Here is an 18,729-nt window from a genome sequence, read left to right as displayed (position 1 = left end):
CCTGGAACTCTGATATTTTGAAGTTGGGAGTATAAACTGGTATAGACACTTAGGAAAGCTACTTGGCATTGTACACTAAACCTGATTGTCCACATATCTTACAACCCAGCAATCTGCAGAATACATGCGAGAGGAATATTGTACATATGTATGTCAAAAGACATGCACAAAAATGTTTGTGACGCTAATGGCCAAAAGCTAGAAACAAACCAAAAAGTCCATCTGTAGTAGAATAAGCAAGTAAAGTGTGGCATGGAACAGAATGGAACTCAAAATGGAATTCTGTCCCACAATGGGATGAGCATGCTCTACGCACACACAACCATATGCACGAATCTCATAGCACCATGTTGGATGAAAGAAGCCAGGCGTAAAGACAGTATGTTCCATGTGATTTCACGAAGTTCAGAAACCACCCAAACTCATCTTTTGTTACCCTTTGGGTGAGAGTAGTGACTGGGAGGGGGTACCAGGGGTGCCTCTGGGGCTCTGGGAATGTTCTAGTTTTTATTGAGGTGATGGTTGTGTGATGTGCTCCCTTGGGTGAAAATCCCTCATGCTCTGCTTATGATTTGCTGAGAACCTCCAGTGCAACCTTTCTAAATCGTAGATTTTATATGAAAAAGTTGAAAATTCAACTTTTATAGTACACACTTCAGTCATCTTTAGTATAGCTGCAAAGTTGCGCAACTCTCACCACTACCTAATTGCAAAATATTTTCAGCTCTCGAAAGAAAACTGTACCTAATAAGAGTTATTCCCCCTTCCCCATCCGGTAGCCCCTGACAGTCATTAATCTCCTTTCTGTCTCTATGGATTTGCCTATCCTGGACATTGAGATAAATGGGCCCATACAATGTGCAGCCTTTTGTGTCTGACTTCATACACTCAGCAGAATGTTTTGAGGTTCATCCGTGTTGTAGTATGTATCAGTATTTTTGTTCCTTTTATGCTAAATCATATTCCATTTTATGAATATACCACATTTTCTTTATCCATTTATCAGCTGATAGACATTTGGGGTGTTCATTGTTTGTCTATTATAAATAATCCTGCAATGAACATTCGTGTACCCATTTTTGTGTTTTCATTTCCATATATAAGGCTGGCCATCCTCTGGGTCACAGACTGAATAGATGGTCTGATTGTAAGTACAAGTTCCTAGGTGGGTTCCAGTACACTCATAATAGGTCTGGTACAATAGAGTTCTAGTTATACTGTTCCTTGACCATGTAGTATGTGTACAGTGGGGACACCCTTCTATGGGTACTTCTTTTTAGCAAGGTTGAAGGGGGTAACAACAGCAAAGCAATGTACAGCTATCCATACCTAGCAAGGGCAGAAGAAGTCCTTACCCGGGGGAAGAGGTTGAGTACAGCGACAGAACAATAGAAAAACAATATTACAAGGAAATCTACTAGTCTTAAGATTTCTAACTACATTTACTTGCTTGATGAGCCCTCAAGCTTCGGCCGTGAGTAGACTAGTCAGCTTCTGCTGTGGGACTAGAGCAGGGCTTGTTGTCTCCTCAAGCTGCAGCCATGTGTAGACTGGTCAGCTTCCAGAGTGACCAGAGCAGGGCTGTTGTCTTCAGCAGCAGCTTGGTCTCGTCTCAGGATCAGCCAGGCTGGATGATCTGGGTCCTGCTGGCTGGTCTACTTGTCCTGAGCTGCCGGTTTCAGCCGACTGTGGTGGATCCAAGGCACAACACCTGCGACTTTAACAGCAGTGGGAGTGGACAAGATTGCAGTATAGGGCCCATCCTATATGGGTCCTAGAGAAGTTGGATTCCACTTCTTAACCCAGACAAAGTCTCCAGGTTTAGGAAAGTGTGTACTGGGTCTGTCAGACTTGTAGGCATTCTTTCATGTACCCAACTATGGACATTTTGCATGGCTATTCCTAAAGCCTGCGTTCGCTTTCTTAAAGTCAATTCCTCTAGTGATTAAAAGTGATCACTTTCAATTTGACTTATGATTGGGGGTGGCTGACTGAACAAAATCTCGTAGGGCAAATACCTAGTTTGTTTGGCGGGGGTGCACCTGACTCGGAGGAGGACCATAGGCAAGACCTGATCCCATCTCAGGTGAGTTTCCTGGCAACACTTCTTCAGTAGCTGCTTGAGTGTCTGGTTCATGTGTTCCACCTTTCCTGAATTTTGCGGCCGATAAGCTGTGTGTAACTTCCATTTTATTTTTAACAGTCTTGTTAAATCTTGCACTATTTCAGCTACAAATGCCGGCCCACTGTTGGATCCTAAAGTTAAAAGCAGTCCAAACCTGGGGATAATGTCTTTTAACAATACTTTAGTCATTTCTCGTGCTTTTCTGTCCTGGTGGGGAAAGCCTCAACCCATCCTGAAAAGGTGCAGATAAGCACTAGCCTATACCGATAGCCCCTGGCACGGGGCAGTTCAGTAAAGTCTATAAGCAAGTTTTCACAAGGCATGGCTCCTACTTCCTGAATTCTTGGGGGCCGAGTGGACCCCTGTCGCGGGTTGTTCTGAGCATAGGTTAAGCATTGTTCACAAACGGCTCGAGTGATGGCAGAGAGCCACAGCACATAGAAATGGCATTTTAGTAGCGTTTCTAGTGCCGTTTTTCCTACATGAGTTCCTTGATGAATTTGCTTCACAAACTTAGGAGCTAACATCTCCGGAATAGCTAAACTCCTATCAGAGAATTTCTACCACTTTCCTTTAATATATTTTCCAGCTCGCAGGGCAAACCAGGCTCTTTCATTTGGAGTATAACTTGGGATCTCTTGGAGAGGAGGTTCTGGGAGGAGAGGCATAGCTAAGACTTCCTCGGCTTTCTCTTTAAAATGCAGCATAATCATTGCTGCCCGTTTTGCCTCTCTGTCCGCCTTTCTGTTTCCTTTGGCTTCTGGCATCCTTGCCTTTTGGTGCCTTCTGTAGTGCATTACAGCTACTTTTTCTGGACCCTCTGCAGCCTGTAAGAGCTGTAGAATTTCTTCTTTGTACTTTATTTCTTTGCCTCCAGCTGTTAAAAGTCCTCTCTCTTTGTTTATAGCTCCATGTATGTGCAATGTAGTAAAAGCATATTTAGAATCAGTGTAAATATTAACCTTCTTGTCTTTTGCTAGCAACGGTGCTCTTGTCAGGGCTATTAATTCTGCCTTTTGAGCAGGTGTTCTAGTAGGCAGAGGCTGAGCCTCTACTACTGAGTCTAATGTTACTACTGTGTACCTGGCATGTTCGAACCTCTTCTAGCACAAAACTGCTTCCATCTGTGAAGTACTCGACAGCTGGGTCTTTGAGGGGTCCGTCTGTAAGATCTTTCCAACTGGAGAATACCTCATCTACTGTTTCGACAGTCATGGAGGGGAGCTCCCGGTTCGACAGGGAGCAGAGTAGCCGGGTTGAAGGTGTTCACTAAGATAATGTAAGTGTTGTCACACAGAAACCCTTGGTACTGAGTCATTTTTGGGTTTGACAACCAATGATGCCCTCTTTGATCTGTCAAGGTTATAACTGAGTGTGGCTCCCAGATGGTTAGCTGCTGTCCCAGAGTAAATCTGTTAGCTTCTTGTGTTAACAAGATGGTAGCGGCTAACGCCTTAAGGCAAGGAGGCCATCCTAGTGCCACGGAGTCTAGTTGTTTAGATAAATATGCCACTGGGCAATGCCATAATCTTATAACTTGAGTCAGAACCTCCAAAGCCATTCCTTTTCGTTCATGAACTTATAGAAAGAAAGGCTTAGTTATATCTGGTAGTCCTAAGGCTGGGGCCTGAGTTAAAGCTTCCTTGATCTATTTGAATGCTATTTCCTGATTAGTTTTCCAAAGGAGGGGCTCTTTTTCTCCTCCTTTTGTGGCTTCATATAACGGCTTAGGCATCAGTGAAAAATTTGGAATCCATATGTGGCAGAATCCTGCTGCCCCTAAAAATTCTCTTATTTGATGTCGGGTGGTTGGGGTTGGAAGTGCACAAATGGCTTGCTTTCGCTCATCGCCAAGCCGGCGTTCCTCGTGGCTCACTATGAAACCTAGATATGTAACCTCTTCATGGCAAATTTGGGCTTTCTTTTTAGACACTTGAAGGGGTGGCCTGCCCCTCCACACCTGTGGGTATTTCTAGTCGGGTGGGATGAGAGACTGAGAAAAGAAATAAGACACAGAGACAAAGTATAGAGAAACAACAGTGGGCCCAGGGGACCGGCACTCAGCACACCAAGGACCTGCACCGGCACCGGCCTCTGAGTTCCCTCAGTTTTTATTGATTATTATATTCATTATTTCAGCAAAAAGGAATGTAGTAGGAGAGCAGGGTGATAATAAGGAGAAGGTCAGCAAAAAACATGTGAGCAAAAGAATCTATGTCATAATGAAGTTCAAGGGAAGGTACTATGACTGGACATGCACGGAAGCCAGATTTATGTTTCTCTCCACCCAAACATCTCAGTGGAGTAAAGAATAACAAAGCAGCATTACTGCAAACATGTCTCGCCTCCCACCATAGGGCGGTTTTTCTCCTATCTCAGAATTGAACAAAGGTACAATCGGGTTTTATACCGAGACATTCAGTTCCCAGGGGCAGGCAGGAGACAGTGGCCTTCCTCTATCTCAACTGCAAGAGGCTTTCCTCTATTACTAATCCACCTCAGCACAGACCCTTTACGGGTGTCGGACTGGGGGACACTCAGGTCTTTCTCTTACCACGAGGCCATATTTCAGACTATCACATGGGGAGAAACCTTGGACAATACCCCGCTTTCAAGGGCAGAGGTCCCTGTGGCTTTCCGCAGTGCATTGTGCCCCTGGTTTATTGAGGCTGGAGAATGGCGATGACCTTTACCAAGTATACTGCCTGTAAACATTTTGTTAACGAGGCACATCCTGAACAGCCCTAGATCCCTTAAACCTTGATTTCATACAACACATGTTTTTGTGAGCTCCAGGTTGGGTCAAAGTGGCTGGGGCAAAGCTACAAATTAACAACATCTCAGCAAAGCAATAGTTTAAAGTACAGCTCTTTTTCAAAATGGAGTCTCTTGTGTCTTCCCTTTCTACATAGACACCGTAACATTCTGATCTCTTTTTTTTCCCTACAATACTTTGTAACCTGCTTTCCATAGGAGATGGAGGAGGTCTCGTGTTCCTTGGTAACAGTCCTCTCAGGTTGGGGCCACCAAAAGAAGGTCATCCATGTACCACAATAAGGCACCGTTAGTTATCATTTGGTGGGGTATAGGCCTTGAGGTCTGAGGCCAATGCTTCCTTAAAGATTGTGGGAGAGTTTTTAAACCTTTTTGGGACCCTAGTCCAGGTGAGCTGTGTTAGCTTCTTTGTCCTATTGAAATGCAAAGATAGGCTGACTAACTGGTGCCAAGCAGATACAAAAGAAAGTGTCCTTTAAGTCTAAGACTGTCAACCAGGTAGCACTTGCTGGAATGAGTCCTATTAAAGTATATGGGTTGGGTACCACTGGATGGATGGTTACCATGGCCCTGTTCACGGCACGCAAGTCCTGCACTGGTCTATACTCATCAGACTCTGGTCCTGGCAGTGGCTTTCGTATTGGCAAAAGTGGAGTATTCCAGGGTGACTGGCATTGGACTAAAATCCTATGTTTATAGAGCCTCTCTAAGTGTTTACAGATGCCTCGTACAGCCTTTTGGGGAACTGAGTACTGACGAACCTGAATAGGAGTTGCTCCTGGTTTTAATTCTACTACAACTGGTGCATGATTGACAGCTAGCCCGGGTGGATTGTCTTCAGCCCATACTCTAGGAATTTCTCTAACTAACTGAAATAATCATTTCTCTTCATCCTGCATACGAGGCTGCACTGGTGCCTGTAGTTTCTTTCTATAAAGTCTCCACTCCTCAGCCTGTGGGATGGTAAGGATTAACAGCATGGCCTTCAGGTGAGTTAGCTTTAAAGTCATATCTCCCTGCAGGCCAAAAGTAATCTGTGCTTGCAGTTTTTGAAGTAGGTCTCTCTCTAACAAGGGAATTGGACGATTTGGGAGGTACAGGAACTCATGCTGAACTTTTCATCCTCCTATAACACACCTCCTTGACTGGAAGAATGGCCTCTTTTCTGAGACTCCAGTAGCCCCTACAATAGTCGTATAGTTCTTGGATAGAGGCCCTATGAGTCGAGTTACTACTGAGTGTTCAGCCCCAGTATCTACCATAAAGTCCATCAATTGGCCTCCAACTTCTAATGTGACCATAGGTTCCTGGAGGCCCAGTGAGAAGGAGCTCAGTCTGTCCTAGTCTTCATATCCTTCAGCCCTTGCCAGCCCGATTAGATCAGTATCTGGTTCTCCTAGGGCGCAGCAGCCCCTGGTTGTTGACCTCTTTGTTTTGCGGCCTTGGCCATTTCCCTCATTGCCTTCTGGACATTCATCTTTCCAGTGTCTCTTCTTTTTACATTGTGCACATTGATCCTTCTCTAATCTTGGTCAGCTCTCGAATCCCTGTCTAACTTGACCTCTTCCACATCCATGTCCGTGTCTATGTCCTCTCACATTGCTAGTGTCTCTTTGTATGAGGGCTACCGCTAACAGATCAGCCTTCTTTTTAAGCCTCCATTCTGCTTCCTTCTTTGCCTCCTGGTCACGGTTAACATACACCTTAGTGGCTACTTCTATAAGCTGAGTGGTGTTCATGCCTGTGAAACCTTCAAGTTTCTGAAGCTTTTGCTTAGTATCACCCTAGGCCTGTTCTACAAATGATGTATTTACCATACGCTGATTTTCAGCAGCCTCAGGGTCAAACGGGTGAAAAGCTGGTATGCCTCACAGAGTCTTTCATAAAACTGGCTAGGGCTCTCATCACTTCCCTGAAGCACCTCTGAGATCTTTCTTATATTGATTGCCTTTTCTCTACCATCACTTAGCCCTTGCAGAAGTGCCTCTCGGTACCTCTGCAAACGCTGAAGCTGGGTTGCATCTTCCAGGTCCTAGTTGGGATCTTGGTCTGGGCATATGCCTGAGCATTCACTGCGTCTGCCGGTGCGCGGGCTTCTAGCCAGTGGAGAGCTGCCTGTGTTACTCTCTGACGCTCCTCAGTGTTAAACAATGTGAGAAGAAGCTGCCTGCAGTCTGGCCAGGTTGGATTGTGTGTCAGAAAGATGGAGTGCATCAAATCTATAAGAGCTTGAGGCTTCTCCATATAGGAGGGAGTATGGTGTTTCCAGTTTAAGAGATCAGTGGTTGTAAAGGGCTGATAGATGAAAGTCGGTTGCCCGCCCCCTGGACTTGGCCTTGGTCATCATAATAAATGAGTCCTCGCGCCTCCCTGAGAGGCATTTGCATAGCTCGAGCACAGCCAGATCTGAGACGGCCTCCTTGACTATCTTAATTTCCTTCCCTGGCCTCTTGAGGCTCCGATCCTTACCTTTGGGTTGAGACTTGGGGCGTGCTAGCTCCTGAATTTAGTTCCTTGGGGGCTGTTGGCCTTGGTAAAGGGGGGTAGGCTGGGACATATGGAGGAGGAATCTCTTCTCCCTCTCGTGGCTCCTATAAGACTGGCCTTTCTTGCTCCCTCTGGGACTTTCCCTTTAACTCTGTGTCTGCCAGAGAAGCTGCTCTTACTTTCATTTTTGGCTCAGTTCGGGCCACAAGTGTTTTGCAATAAGCTGCTAAACAGGGCTGGATCCATGCCGGTCTTGTCTGTGCTATATTAACCATGAGTCAATATAACGAAATTGATCTGGATGCCCAGGCTGTCCTCTGACCCCTGTCACCACCTTAAATACATGGCCAATTATTTCCCTGTCTATAATTCCTTCGGTTGACCATCCAACACCAAAGAAGGCCATTCTAATTCACAGAGAGTTCTCAACCTCTGGGCAGTTAGCTTAACTCTATAATCCCCTGCATAACCTTTCTTAAAGTTCTGTAACATGCACTCTAACGGGGTAGGTTTTGATGACTGTCCTCCCGTTTTCCTCCTCTTATGGCACAGCTCACTCACTCTTCCTTTTGTTATGGACTGACCAGACCATTTCCTATTATGGGAGTTTTCAGACGCTGCTTAGCTTTGGAGAGGTCTTTATTCCCACCACAATTCTGAGCTGTGGGGCAGCTCCTATTAGCTGTATGCGGTTTGCCACTAGTCCAGGTCGGCCCCACACTTTGCTCGGAGCACACTGTCCATGCTAAGAGATCTACGACTCCCCACGTCACTCCCCACATTGGTTCCTCCCGGAACAATCTCTTTCACACACACACACACCTCCCCACTCCCAGTTCCTGTGTCCCTAACTGTGGTGGTGAGCCACTCTCGCCACCTCCAGTTTTCTTTTCCTAACTGACTTGGCGAGCCACTCTTGCATCCTATGTTGGTTGGGGTGTGAGTTTCATCCGAATTGGCGAGCCACTCTTGCTGCCCCCAACCTCTCTGGGTCAGACTACTAGTTACACCATGGGAGGTGATCAGGCTCCCCTTCTGTCCTTATGGGAAGGGTCCTGCCTTGGGCCCCAAAACCTTACCGCGGTCCAGTAGCACACTGTTCCTAGTAATCATCTGGTAGCCCCTCTCAGGTTCCATTGCACTGCTGGGTGGGGATGCCTGGTCACAGAAGAGCTGATTTCCCCTCCAGGCTGAAGTTCTCCTGGCAGTGCCTGGGGTCACAAGTTTCCCTTGACCCAGGGCTTCAGCCCCACTGGCAAAGGAGACAGCAAACCTGCCATCTCCACTCCTGGCTGGCTCACCAAAATGTTGTGATAAACTGAGGACTAGAGAGACCAATATGGGAAAACAGGAGGATGTTTATTTTAAGGTACACACTGGCTCAGTGGATTCACATCTAAAAAGCTGAGCATTGAACAAAGACAGAGTTTAGCTTGAATAGGCTAGCATACAAGAGCAAAACAAAGACAGTACATTTTACATTGACAGGTCACATAATCTATAGCATAACTGCTAACTTGGCATAACTTATGGCCTTACATACCTAGTGGCCTTGCAGCTGTGTCAAAAAAACCAACCAAACAAACAAACAGGAACTTTGCAAATCTTACTAAATACAAGCATTGGCAAACATAGTCATAACTAATAGTTCAGTACAGGAGAGAAAGTAAAGGAATTTGTTGTTGTTCTTTTTTTTTTTTTTTTTGAGTTGGAGTCTCACCCTGTCACCCAGGCTGGAGTGCAGTGGTGCAATCTCGGCTCACTGCAAGCTCTGCCTCCTGGGTTCACGCCATTCTCCTGCCTCAGCCTCCTGAGTAGCTGGGACTACAGGTGCCCGCCACCACGCCCAGCTAATTTTTTTGTATTTTTAGTAGAGGTGGGGTTTCACCGTGTTAGCCAGGATGGTCTCGATCTCCTGACCTCGTGATCCGCCCACGTCGGCCTCCCAAAGTGCTGGGATTATAGGCATGAGCCACTGCACCCGGCGTTGTTGTTCTTCTCTTAACCTTGCTTTGGGGGTTTGTGGAGCTCATTTCTGCAGGCCGGGTCACCACGACCTGTCTATAGCCTTGCCTGCAGTAGAGGAAAACTTGTGTTTTTCACTTAACCCTTACTTTCCTTGGAGTGAATAAATGCAGTATTTATTTTTCTTTAAATTTCTGCCTCATTGACAGGGAGGTAGGAAAGTCAGGATCAGAGAGGAAGATGCGATGGCGAAAGAAGCAGAGAGCAAGGAAGATGTTGGAAAATTCTATGCTGCTGGCTTTGAAGATGGAGGAGAAGGCTACACAATCAGGCATGCCGGCGGCCTCTAGAAGCTGGAGAAGACCAGGCAATAGTTCTACCCAGGGCCTCCAGAAAGGACGCAGATTGCCAACACCATGAGTTTAGCCCCGTAAGACCCTTTCTGGACTTCTGCCTTCCAGAACTGTCAGCAAGTTGTGTTGTCTTAGCCACTAAGTTTGTGATAATTTATTCCAGTACCAGTAGAAAACGAACACCTTTTCTCAAAAAAAAAAAAACAAAAAAAAACTCATGATTTTTGCCAGTTATTTAATATACATATGAGTGGTAGAATATTTGAAAGATGGCCAGGTCTAGTGGCTCATGCCTGTAATTGCAGCACTTTGGGAGGCCGAGGCAGGCAGATCGCCTAAGGTCAGGAGTTTGAGACCAGCCTGGCCAACATGGTGAAACCCCATCTCTACTAAGAATGCAAAAATTAGCCAGGTGTGGTGGTGCACATCTGTAATCCCAGCTACCTGGGAGACTGAGGCTGGAGAATCACTTGAACCCAGAAGGCGGAGGTTGCGGTGAGCTGAGGTGTTGCAGTGAGCTGAGATTGTGTCACTGCACTCCAGCTTGGGCAACAGAGTGAGACTCTGTCTCAAAAAAAAAAAAAAAAAAAAAAAAAAAAAAAAGAAAGAAAAAAAGAAAATTTGAAAGGCAAATTAAGCAGTGTGTTATAGAAATACCTGAATTTTCTAAAATCTTTGTCAGCTGTGGCATTTGGAGAGATCATGTCTTGTAATTCTAGAAGATAAACATAGAGTAATTGTGCATGAGTAATAAGGTGTCAAGATGTATATTTATTCAAAATAACTGCCAACTCCATCACCTATAGTATTTTAAATGTATAGGACTTGACTAAAGCAGGTTGTCAGATATGTTCTGGTATTGTATAATTAAACCTGAAGTGAATAAATAGGACATTTGTGTCTGTATTTCTTTTTGTATTTTTTCTTTTAGAGATGAGGTCTCACTCTGTCACCCAGGCTGGAGTGCAATGGCACAGTCACGGCTCACGGCAGCCTTGACCTCCACCATGCCCAGTAACTTTTTGTGTGTACTTTATGTAGAGACAAGGTCTCCTAAGTTGCCCAGCTGGTCTCAAACTTCTGGGCTCAAATGATCCTCCTTCCTTGGCTTCCCAATGCTAAGATTACAGGCATGAGCCACCACGCCCGGCCATATTCTCTTCTTCCTTTTCATGTATGTTTGAAACTTTTCATAATAAAAAAATAAATAAAAAGAAAAAAATGCTCCCCGATAATAATACCCATAGCATTATAGTGAGGAAGGAATTAAATGAGATTGATCACAGGATCTATATACAGCAAGTGTGTAATCAATATTGATCATTACTACTGACACTACAGGCAATCAAGATTGAGAATTAGATTTGCAAGGAAAGTCTGTTTTAATTTAGATTAGTTTGGTGCTCATGGTAATGTACTTATTTACTATGGATCACTTTGTCTTCTAGATGCTGTAAATAGGACATCACGGCTTGGAAGCCCCCCAATCCCATGTTCCTGGGGCTAGTCCCTTAATATTCTGAGGCCTTGGGGGTTCATGTGCCACAACATGTGAATTTTGTCCACCAGCTCTTGGTTCCCAAGTGCCTTTGAATGAATTTGAGTTGCTTACTGGTCTTCCTCCTTCTCCTACTTTCCAGGTAAACTTCACGTGTTTATTCCCCTCCTACCTCCTCCCCACCATCTCATTCCATTTCCCAGACTCTCTCTCTTCTCAAATAATGGCTATGGGATTCACTCTTATTGTTTATTCCTCAAGTCCCTTCCTTAAACATCAGCATCTCCATAGCAACTCTAATTGCTGTATATTTGACATCTACTCAATTTCTCTCTGAGATGGAATGAAAAGGTCTTTACAGCCAAGCAATCTGAGGAACAGAACTGGAGGAAATGACGCTCTGTTACTCCAAAAAGTTTGCAAGCCACCTTTTCAAGGCCATGTTCTTCCTAGAATAGATTACTAGTATACCTTTGTATCATTTAAATGTGTCAGTAAGAAAACAAGGACAGGCCTAGTTTTGAACAACCCTGACTGCTACCACTGAGTGCTGATCTCATTGTTACAACATTTGCCTAAGGAAAATTCTCGGAAGCCAAGCAACACTTCTGTGTCTCCAGGACCAGCCTGCCAATTCTGTACACTCCAATTCCAGACTTGGGTCCCTTTGGGGAGTATAGTGGGCTCATGGTGCCTGCCTGGAACCCGGGCCTCTTTTGGAAAAAGGGTCTTTGCATATGGAAGCAAGTGAAGGATATGGAGATGAACTCATCCTGGACTAGGGTGGGCCCCAGCTCCAATGACAAGTTCCCTTACAAGGGAGGAGAAGGAGACAGGACACAGGGCAGAAGCCATGTAGAGACAGGGGCTGAGATGGAAGTGATGCTGCCACGAACCCCAGGTCACATGGAGCCACCAGAAGCTGGAAGAGACAAGAAAGGGTCCCCCCCAGAGCCTCTGGAGGGAGCATGCTGCTGATACCTTGATTTTGGATTTCTGACCTCCAGAACTGTGAAAGAACACACTTGTGTTTTCATAAGCCTCCAAGTCTGTGGCAGTTTGTTACGGCAGCCACAGGAAACGAATAGAATACATAGACTGTGTTGCCCATATGGAGGGTATAAAAACCGAGTCTACTGCTGACGAAAAGAGTCAAACTCCGTAAAATATTTGAAGAGATTTATTATGAGCCAAATGTGAGTGACCAAGGCCCCTGACACAGCCCTTGGGAGATCCTGAGAACATGTGTCCCAGGTAATCCCGGTGTAGCTTGGTGTTACACATTTTAGAGACATGAGACATCAATCAAATACATTTAAGAGGTACATTGGTTCAGTCCAGAAAGGCAGGACAAACTTGAAGCAGTAGGGGATGGGGGGAGGTGTGCTTTTGGATTATAGGTAGATTTAAAATTTTCTGGTTGACAATTGGCTGAATTTATCTAAAGAGCTGAGATCAATGGACAGAAAATGTCCGGGTTGCAATAAGAGGTGATGGAGACCAAAGTTTTATCATGCAGGTGAAGCCTCCAGGTAGCAGGCTTCAGAGAGAATATATTGTAAATGTTTTTTATTAGACTTAAGGTCTGCGTTGATGTTAGTGCCATGCCCAAGAGGTACAAGGAGGCACGTCCAATCCCCACTTCCCATCATGGCCTGGAGCAGTCTCTCAGGTTAAATTTTAAGAGTGCCCGGGCAGAGGAGGAAGTCCATTCAGATGGTCGGGGGGCCTTAGAAATTTACTTTTGGTTTACACTATTACCCCCTACACAGCCTGCCAGGGAGCAGCACAGCAAGACACAGGTCTCCAGGGATTGGCTGAGCTATTCAGGATCTGCAGAGCCTGTCTCCTTGACCCCCTTGGTTTTTGTTCTTCATTTAGGCTTCTCCATCTTGAGTACCTTGCCTCTTCTGGCCGTGCTGTAACGGATAAGAATGTGAGCTCTGTGGGCGCAGGCCTGTCTCTGCGCTGGCCACCCACTCTGCCCAATGCCGTCACTAGCATGGTAGTTGGCACTGGGAGGTGATAAATAAATAATGCCTGAATGAAGGATTAAATAAGCCTGTGGAAGAAACAGCATTTGTCTCGCAACTACTGAGAAGTTGCTGCACCCACTGCAGACGTTCTGATTCAGTAGCTCTGGGGCGGGGCCTGAGAATCTGCATTTCTCTCAAGTTCCTAGGTGATGCTGATGCTGCTGGTCCAGGGATCACAGTTTAAGAACCGCTGGCCTAGACCAAGAGTGTGTTTACAGAAGTCCGGATTCCAGGGTTCATGAGCTCAGCCACAGAAATACCACCCTGCAGAGAAAACTTTGACCTAAACAAACCATCACAAGCTCCACCTTTCTACGCCCGGGATATCTCGCAGGGTAGCAACTGTGAGTGTGCTTCCAAACCTTCCAGAGAAAGTTTTCCTTTCCTTCAGCCGAGGCTGCATTTTTCTACCTAATGAGGTCCTGTGACTTGCAGCCCCCATTTCTGGAGGTAACATTGACCGCTACCTTGTGTGTATCAATGCTGCAACTAATTGAAGAGTTTCTTACTCTTCAGCGGCAGTGAAGAAAGCCGGGGAAGGGCAGGCTCAGTCACCTCCATGGAATAGCAGTCTCTGTTTCTCCCTAGGCACCACAGTCTTCCAGAAAGGCTGGCTGGGAGAATGCTAAGACTCAAGAGATAATAGAGTCAGGTGAGTGGATAAACCAAGTGTGTTGTAGACACACAACAGAATATTCCTCAACTTCAGAAGGAAGGAAGGCTGATGTACTTCATACCATGGATGAGCCTGGAGGGCATTACCCAAAGTGAAAGAAGCCAGACACAAAAGGACAAACACTGGAGATTTCTTCCCTGGACGACAGAGTTGTCAGATTTATGGAGACAAAAAGAAGAACGGTGGGTGTCAGGGCCTGGGGGCAAGGGTGGATGGGGAGTATTGCTTAATGGGTCCAGTGTTTCCATTTGGGAAGATGAAGAAGTTCTGGAGCTGGATGGTGGGAATGGTGGGACAACAATGAGAATGTACTTCATGCCACTGAACTGTGCACTTCAGATAGTTTTACATTGTATTTCAGCATGATTAAAACAAAAAGGCTGTGGAAACTCACCTTCATTCCCCTTTTTAATGTTCCTTTCTGTGTTTGCAAAACCTCCTGAGATCAGGCAAGAAAACAGAACAATAATCTGGAGACAATCACTGTGTTATTATTTTTGTTTTGTGATTCTTTTTTGTAAATTATACTTTAAGTTCTAGGGTACATGTGCAGAACGAGCAGGTTTGCTACATAGGTATACACATGCCATGTTGGCCTGCTGCACCCATCAACTCATCATTTATATTAGGTATTTCTCCCAATGCTATCCCTCCCCCAGCCCCCCACCCCCTGACAGGCCCTGGTGTGTTATGTTGCTCGCCCTGTGTCCATGTGTTCTTATTGTTCAACTCCTACCCATGAGTGAGAACATGCAGTATTTGGTTTTCTGTCCCTGTGATAGTTTGCTGAGAATGATGGTTTCTAGCTTCATCCATGTCCCTGCAAAGCACGTGAACTCATCCTTTTTTATGGCTGCATAGTATTCCATGGTGTATATGTGCCACAATTTCTTAATCCGATCTATCACTGATGGACATTTGAGCTGGTTTCCAAGACATTGCTATTGTGAATAGTGCCTCAGTAAACATATGTGTGCACGTGTCTTTATAGTAGCATGATTTATAATCCTTTGGGTGTATACCCAGTAATGGGATCGCTGAGTCAAATGGTATTTCTAGTTCTAGATCCTTGAGGAATTGCCACACTGTCTTCCACAATGGTTGAACTAATTTCCACTCCCACCAACAGTGTAAAAGTGTTCCTATTCCTCCATATCCTCTCCAGCATTTGTTGTTTCCTGACTTTTTAATGATCGCCATTCTAACTGGCATGAGATGGTATCTGATTGTGGTTTTGATTTGCATTTCTCTGATGACCAGTGATGATGAGCATTTTTTCGTGTGTCTGTTGGCTGCATAAATGTCTTCTTTTGAGAAGGGTCTGTTCATATCCTTTGCCCACTTTTTGATGGGGTTGTTTGATTTTTTTCTTGTAAATTTGTTTAAGTTCTTTGTAGATTCTAGATATTAGTCCTTTGTCAGATGGGTAGATTGCAAACATTTTCTCCCATTCTGTAGGTTGCCTGTTCACTCTGATGGTAGTTTCTTTTGCTGTGCAGAAGCTTTTTAGTTTAATTAGGTCCCATTTGTCTATTTTGGCTTTTGTTGCCATTGCTCTTGGTGTTTTAGACATGAAGTCCTTGCCCATGCCTATGTCCTGAATGGTATTGCCTAGGTTTTCTTCTAGGGTTTTTATGATTTTAGGTCTTACATTTAAGTCTTTAATCCATCTTGAATTAATTTTTGTATAAGGTGTAAGGAAGGGATTCAGTTTCAGCTTTCTACATATGGCTAGCCAGTTTTCCCAGCACCATTTATTAAATAGGGAATCCATTTCCCATGGCTTGTTTTTGTCAGGTTTGTCAAAGATCAGATAGTTGTAGATGTGTGGTGTTATTTCTGAGGCCTCTGTTCTGTTCCATTGGTCTATATATCTGTTTTGGTACCAGTGCCATGCTGTTTTGCTTACTGTAGCCTTGTAGTATAGTTTGAAGTCAGGTAGCATGATGCCTCCAGCTTTGTTCTTTTTGCTTAGGATTGTCTTGGCTATGGGGGCTCTTTTTTGGTTCCGTATGAACTTTAAAGTAGTTTTTTCCAATTCTGCGAAGAAAGGCATTGGTAGCTTGATGGGCATAGCATTGAATCTATAAATTACCTTGAGCAGTATGACTATTTTCACGATATTGATTCCTCCTATCCATGAGCATAGAATATTCTTCCATTTGGTTGTGTCCTCTTAAAGAAAGGATGATTCTTAAAGAAAGGAAATGTAGAATCCCCCAGAAATGCTTTCAAAGGTTGAATCTCAAAATAAAGCCACACACACACTCTCACACACACTCTCACACACACATCACACATACATTCTCACATGCAAACTATATACATATTCTCACACATGCTCACACTCAATCCTCATTCACACACACACACTCACACACAATCCTCACTCACACCCACACACACATTCTCTCTCACACACACACACACACACACAGCTGACCACTGTCCCACCGTGTTTTGCCTCCCCACCCAGAAGCGTGCGTTCCTCCCACAGTGGTTTCCAAAGTGTCGTTCTGGATCCAGCAGCATCAACCTCCCCTTAGACTTCTTAGAAATGCACATTCTGGGGCCCCAGCCCCGACCTCCTGAGTCAGCTGGCCGGGGGGTGGGGCCTGGGAATCCGCGTTTAGACTGGCTCTCCCCCGGCCTGCCACGCGCTCCCGTCGGGGCCCACCCGCACCTGGGCCGGGGCTGGTGTCCACGCGCGACGGCTCGGGAGCACGGACCTCTGCTCCCCGCAGCACCGCCCCCCGGGTGGAGCCGGCGGCCCCGCCTCGCAGAGCTGGGGCTGTACCTGGGGCAACGGGGCCGGGCCTGGACGTCAGGTCGGAGGAGTAGCACCTGCCAGGAGCACGTCCCGCCGGCAGGTCGCAGGAGCCCTGGGAGCCGCCGCCATGGGTACGCTCGGCGGGTGGGGGGCCGGCCGGGCTAAAGACTCGGAGCTACGCGGGGCGGGGGCCGGCACCGAGGGCCGGGAGGCGCGAAGGGTACGCGGCGGCGGGAAGCGGGGCGACCCGAAGGCCCACGGGGGCCGGGAGGTTGCGGGGCGCCCGGGATCCCCTCCCGGGTGGTCACCGTGCGGCCGGGGCGCGGAAGCCAGAGGTGCCCAGAGGCGCCGACTCCGCCGAGGTTGCGATCCTGGCCCGCCCGCCCGTGGGGCACTGTAATCCTCGTATTCCCACCCTGCGGGCCGGGAGTGCGCTTGGAGCGGGACGGGACCCAGCGGGTGACGGCAGGGGCGGCAGAAACACCGTCTAACTGGCGGAAGCCTTGTGGCTGCCTTTGCACTTGTCTTGCCTCTGGCTGGCGAGGTGACCCTGGAGTTCCGCAGGGAACCCTGGCCCAAGAGGAGATGGGGCCTCTCTTTGTGGCCCCCTCTTAACCCTCTGCACTGTCCCCTGGCTTAATTTGAGGCACCTTCTGTGCCTTACAGAAGGTGAGGAGCTGGCTCTTGATGGGGCTGGAGCGTCAGCAAAACAGCTAGGAGGCAACTTGACTCCTGCCCCGCTTCCGAATTAATCACCCTGGAACTAAGGCAGACCCAGAGAGAATGAACGGAAGCAGAGCCAGAGCTGCTGGGAGCAGCCCAGCCCGCTGCTTTCTTAAAGATGAGGAAGCCCAGTCAGCTTCCCAAAGTTGTGCCATGGATGCCCCCGGCCAGCATTTTGCAGAAGATGTGGCCACGTTGTTGAGGGGGATCTGAGCCTGTAGACAGGAATGTCGGTCGGTGGCTGCCTCAGTGGTCCTGGTGGAGTGATGTGTGTCAGTGCCCAGCCCCAGGGTGCAGCCGTCCTCTGGCTCTCAGAATGCCTGCCGGACACAGCATGTGGTGGTTCCTAAGGAGAAGCAGTGAGTGGTTCACACTTTGGACTTCTAATTGTAGCCAGTTGTGCCTGTTCCAGAAAGACCTGCAACTTCCCTCTCTGGCGGAGACTGTGGCCGAGCTCAGCTCTGCAGGCAGATTCCTGGGCTGCAGTTCTGGGTCCCGCCCTCAAACAAGTCCCACCTGTCACTCTATGCAACTTTGCTGGGAGGTGCTCTGAACTATTTCTGTTGATCATCAAATACCAAATACCTGAGCAGCATCCTTGTTGAGTTGGAATTTATGACCCGTGTTTAGCATTTCCAGCAGATCCAATCCCGAGAGCTGTTAGAGGCAGCTGCCTGGTTATTGGTGAAGGAATACAGAGTTAGATTTGAAGCCTCCTTTCCAAATGAATTGATGCGTTCTAGTCTGCAACTGGTCCTCTCTGTTTGCAACTGAGATTGACATAGCATGTGAATAGCAACAAAAAAGTTGATATGCAAAAACCGATTTGATTTTTACTGAAGTCCTAACTTTTCAATATCAAGGGTTAGTTAGTAAATGAAAAAAAAATTGTTTAATGGTTGTTATGGGGAAAAAAAGTAGTAGTAACTTCTCTTAAGAACAGATCTTGGCCGGGCGCAGTGGCTCACGCTTGTAATCCCAGCACTTTGGGAGGCCAGGGCAGGTGGATCACCTGAGGTCAGGAGTTCGAGACCAACCTGGCCAACATGGTAAGACCCCCGTCTCTACTAAAAATATATAAAAACTAGCTGGGCATAGTGGCGGGTGCCTGTAATCCCAGCTACTCGGAAGGCTGAGGCAGGAGAATTGCTTGAACCCAGGAGACGAAGGTTGCAGTGAGCCAACGTGGTGCCACCGCACTCCAGCCTCCGCGACAGAGTAAGACTCCGTCTCAAAAAAAAAAAAAAAGAACAGATCTTTGGTACTTAGGTCATGCCAGAATTGCTTCAGATCCCTCAGTGACTGAGGGGACACTTGAAGC

General features: G+C 46.6%; 1 protein-coding gene and 1 long non-coding RNA gene across 2 annotated transcripts in view; both read left to right on the top strand.

Annotated features, from left to right (window-relative positions):
* Window positions 1-11,213: 11,213 nt before the first annotated feature.
* LOC105370330 (uncharacterized) lies at window positions 11,214-14,289 on the top strand. Its single transcript, XR_931672.2, has 3 exons — window positions 11,214-11,345; window positions 13,379-13,689; window positions 13,828-14,289. It is a non-coding gene; the product is annotated as an uncharacterized LOC105370330 (long non-coding RNA).
* Window positions 16,739-18,729, top strand: part of SLC15A1 (solute carrier family 15 member 1) — a 68,872-nt gene continuing 66,881 nt past the window's right edge. Inside the window, exon 1 of the mRNA NM_005073.4 lies at window positions 16,739-16,816. Coding sequence (NP_005064.1) covers window positions 16,813-16,816 — 4 coding nt within the window. The 5' untranslated portion in view covers window positions 16,739-16,812. The remainder of the gene's footprint in view (window positions 16,817-18,729) is intronic.

This window comes from Homo sapiens, chromosome 13 (genome assembly GCF_000001405.40).
Source record: "Homo sapiens chromosome 13, GRCh38.p14 Primary Assembly".
Taxonomy (NCBI): Eukaryota; Metazoa; Chordata; class Mammalia; order Primates; family Hominidae; genus Homo; species Homo sapiens.
Note: the sequence above shows the minus strand (reverse complement) of the source record. Positions and strands in the feature narration are given on the sequence as shown.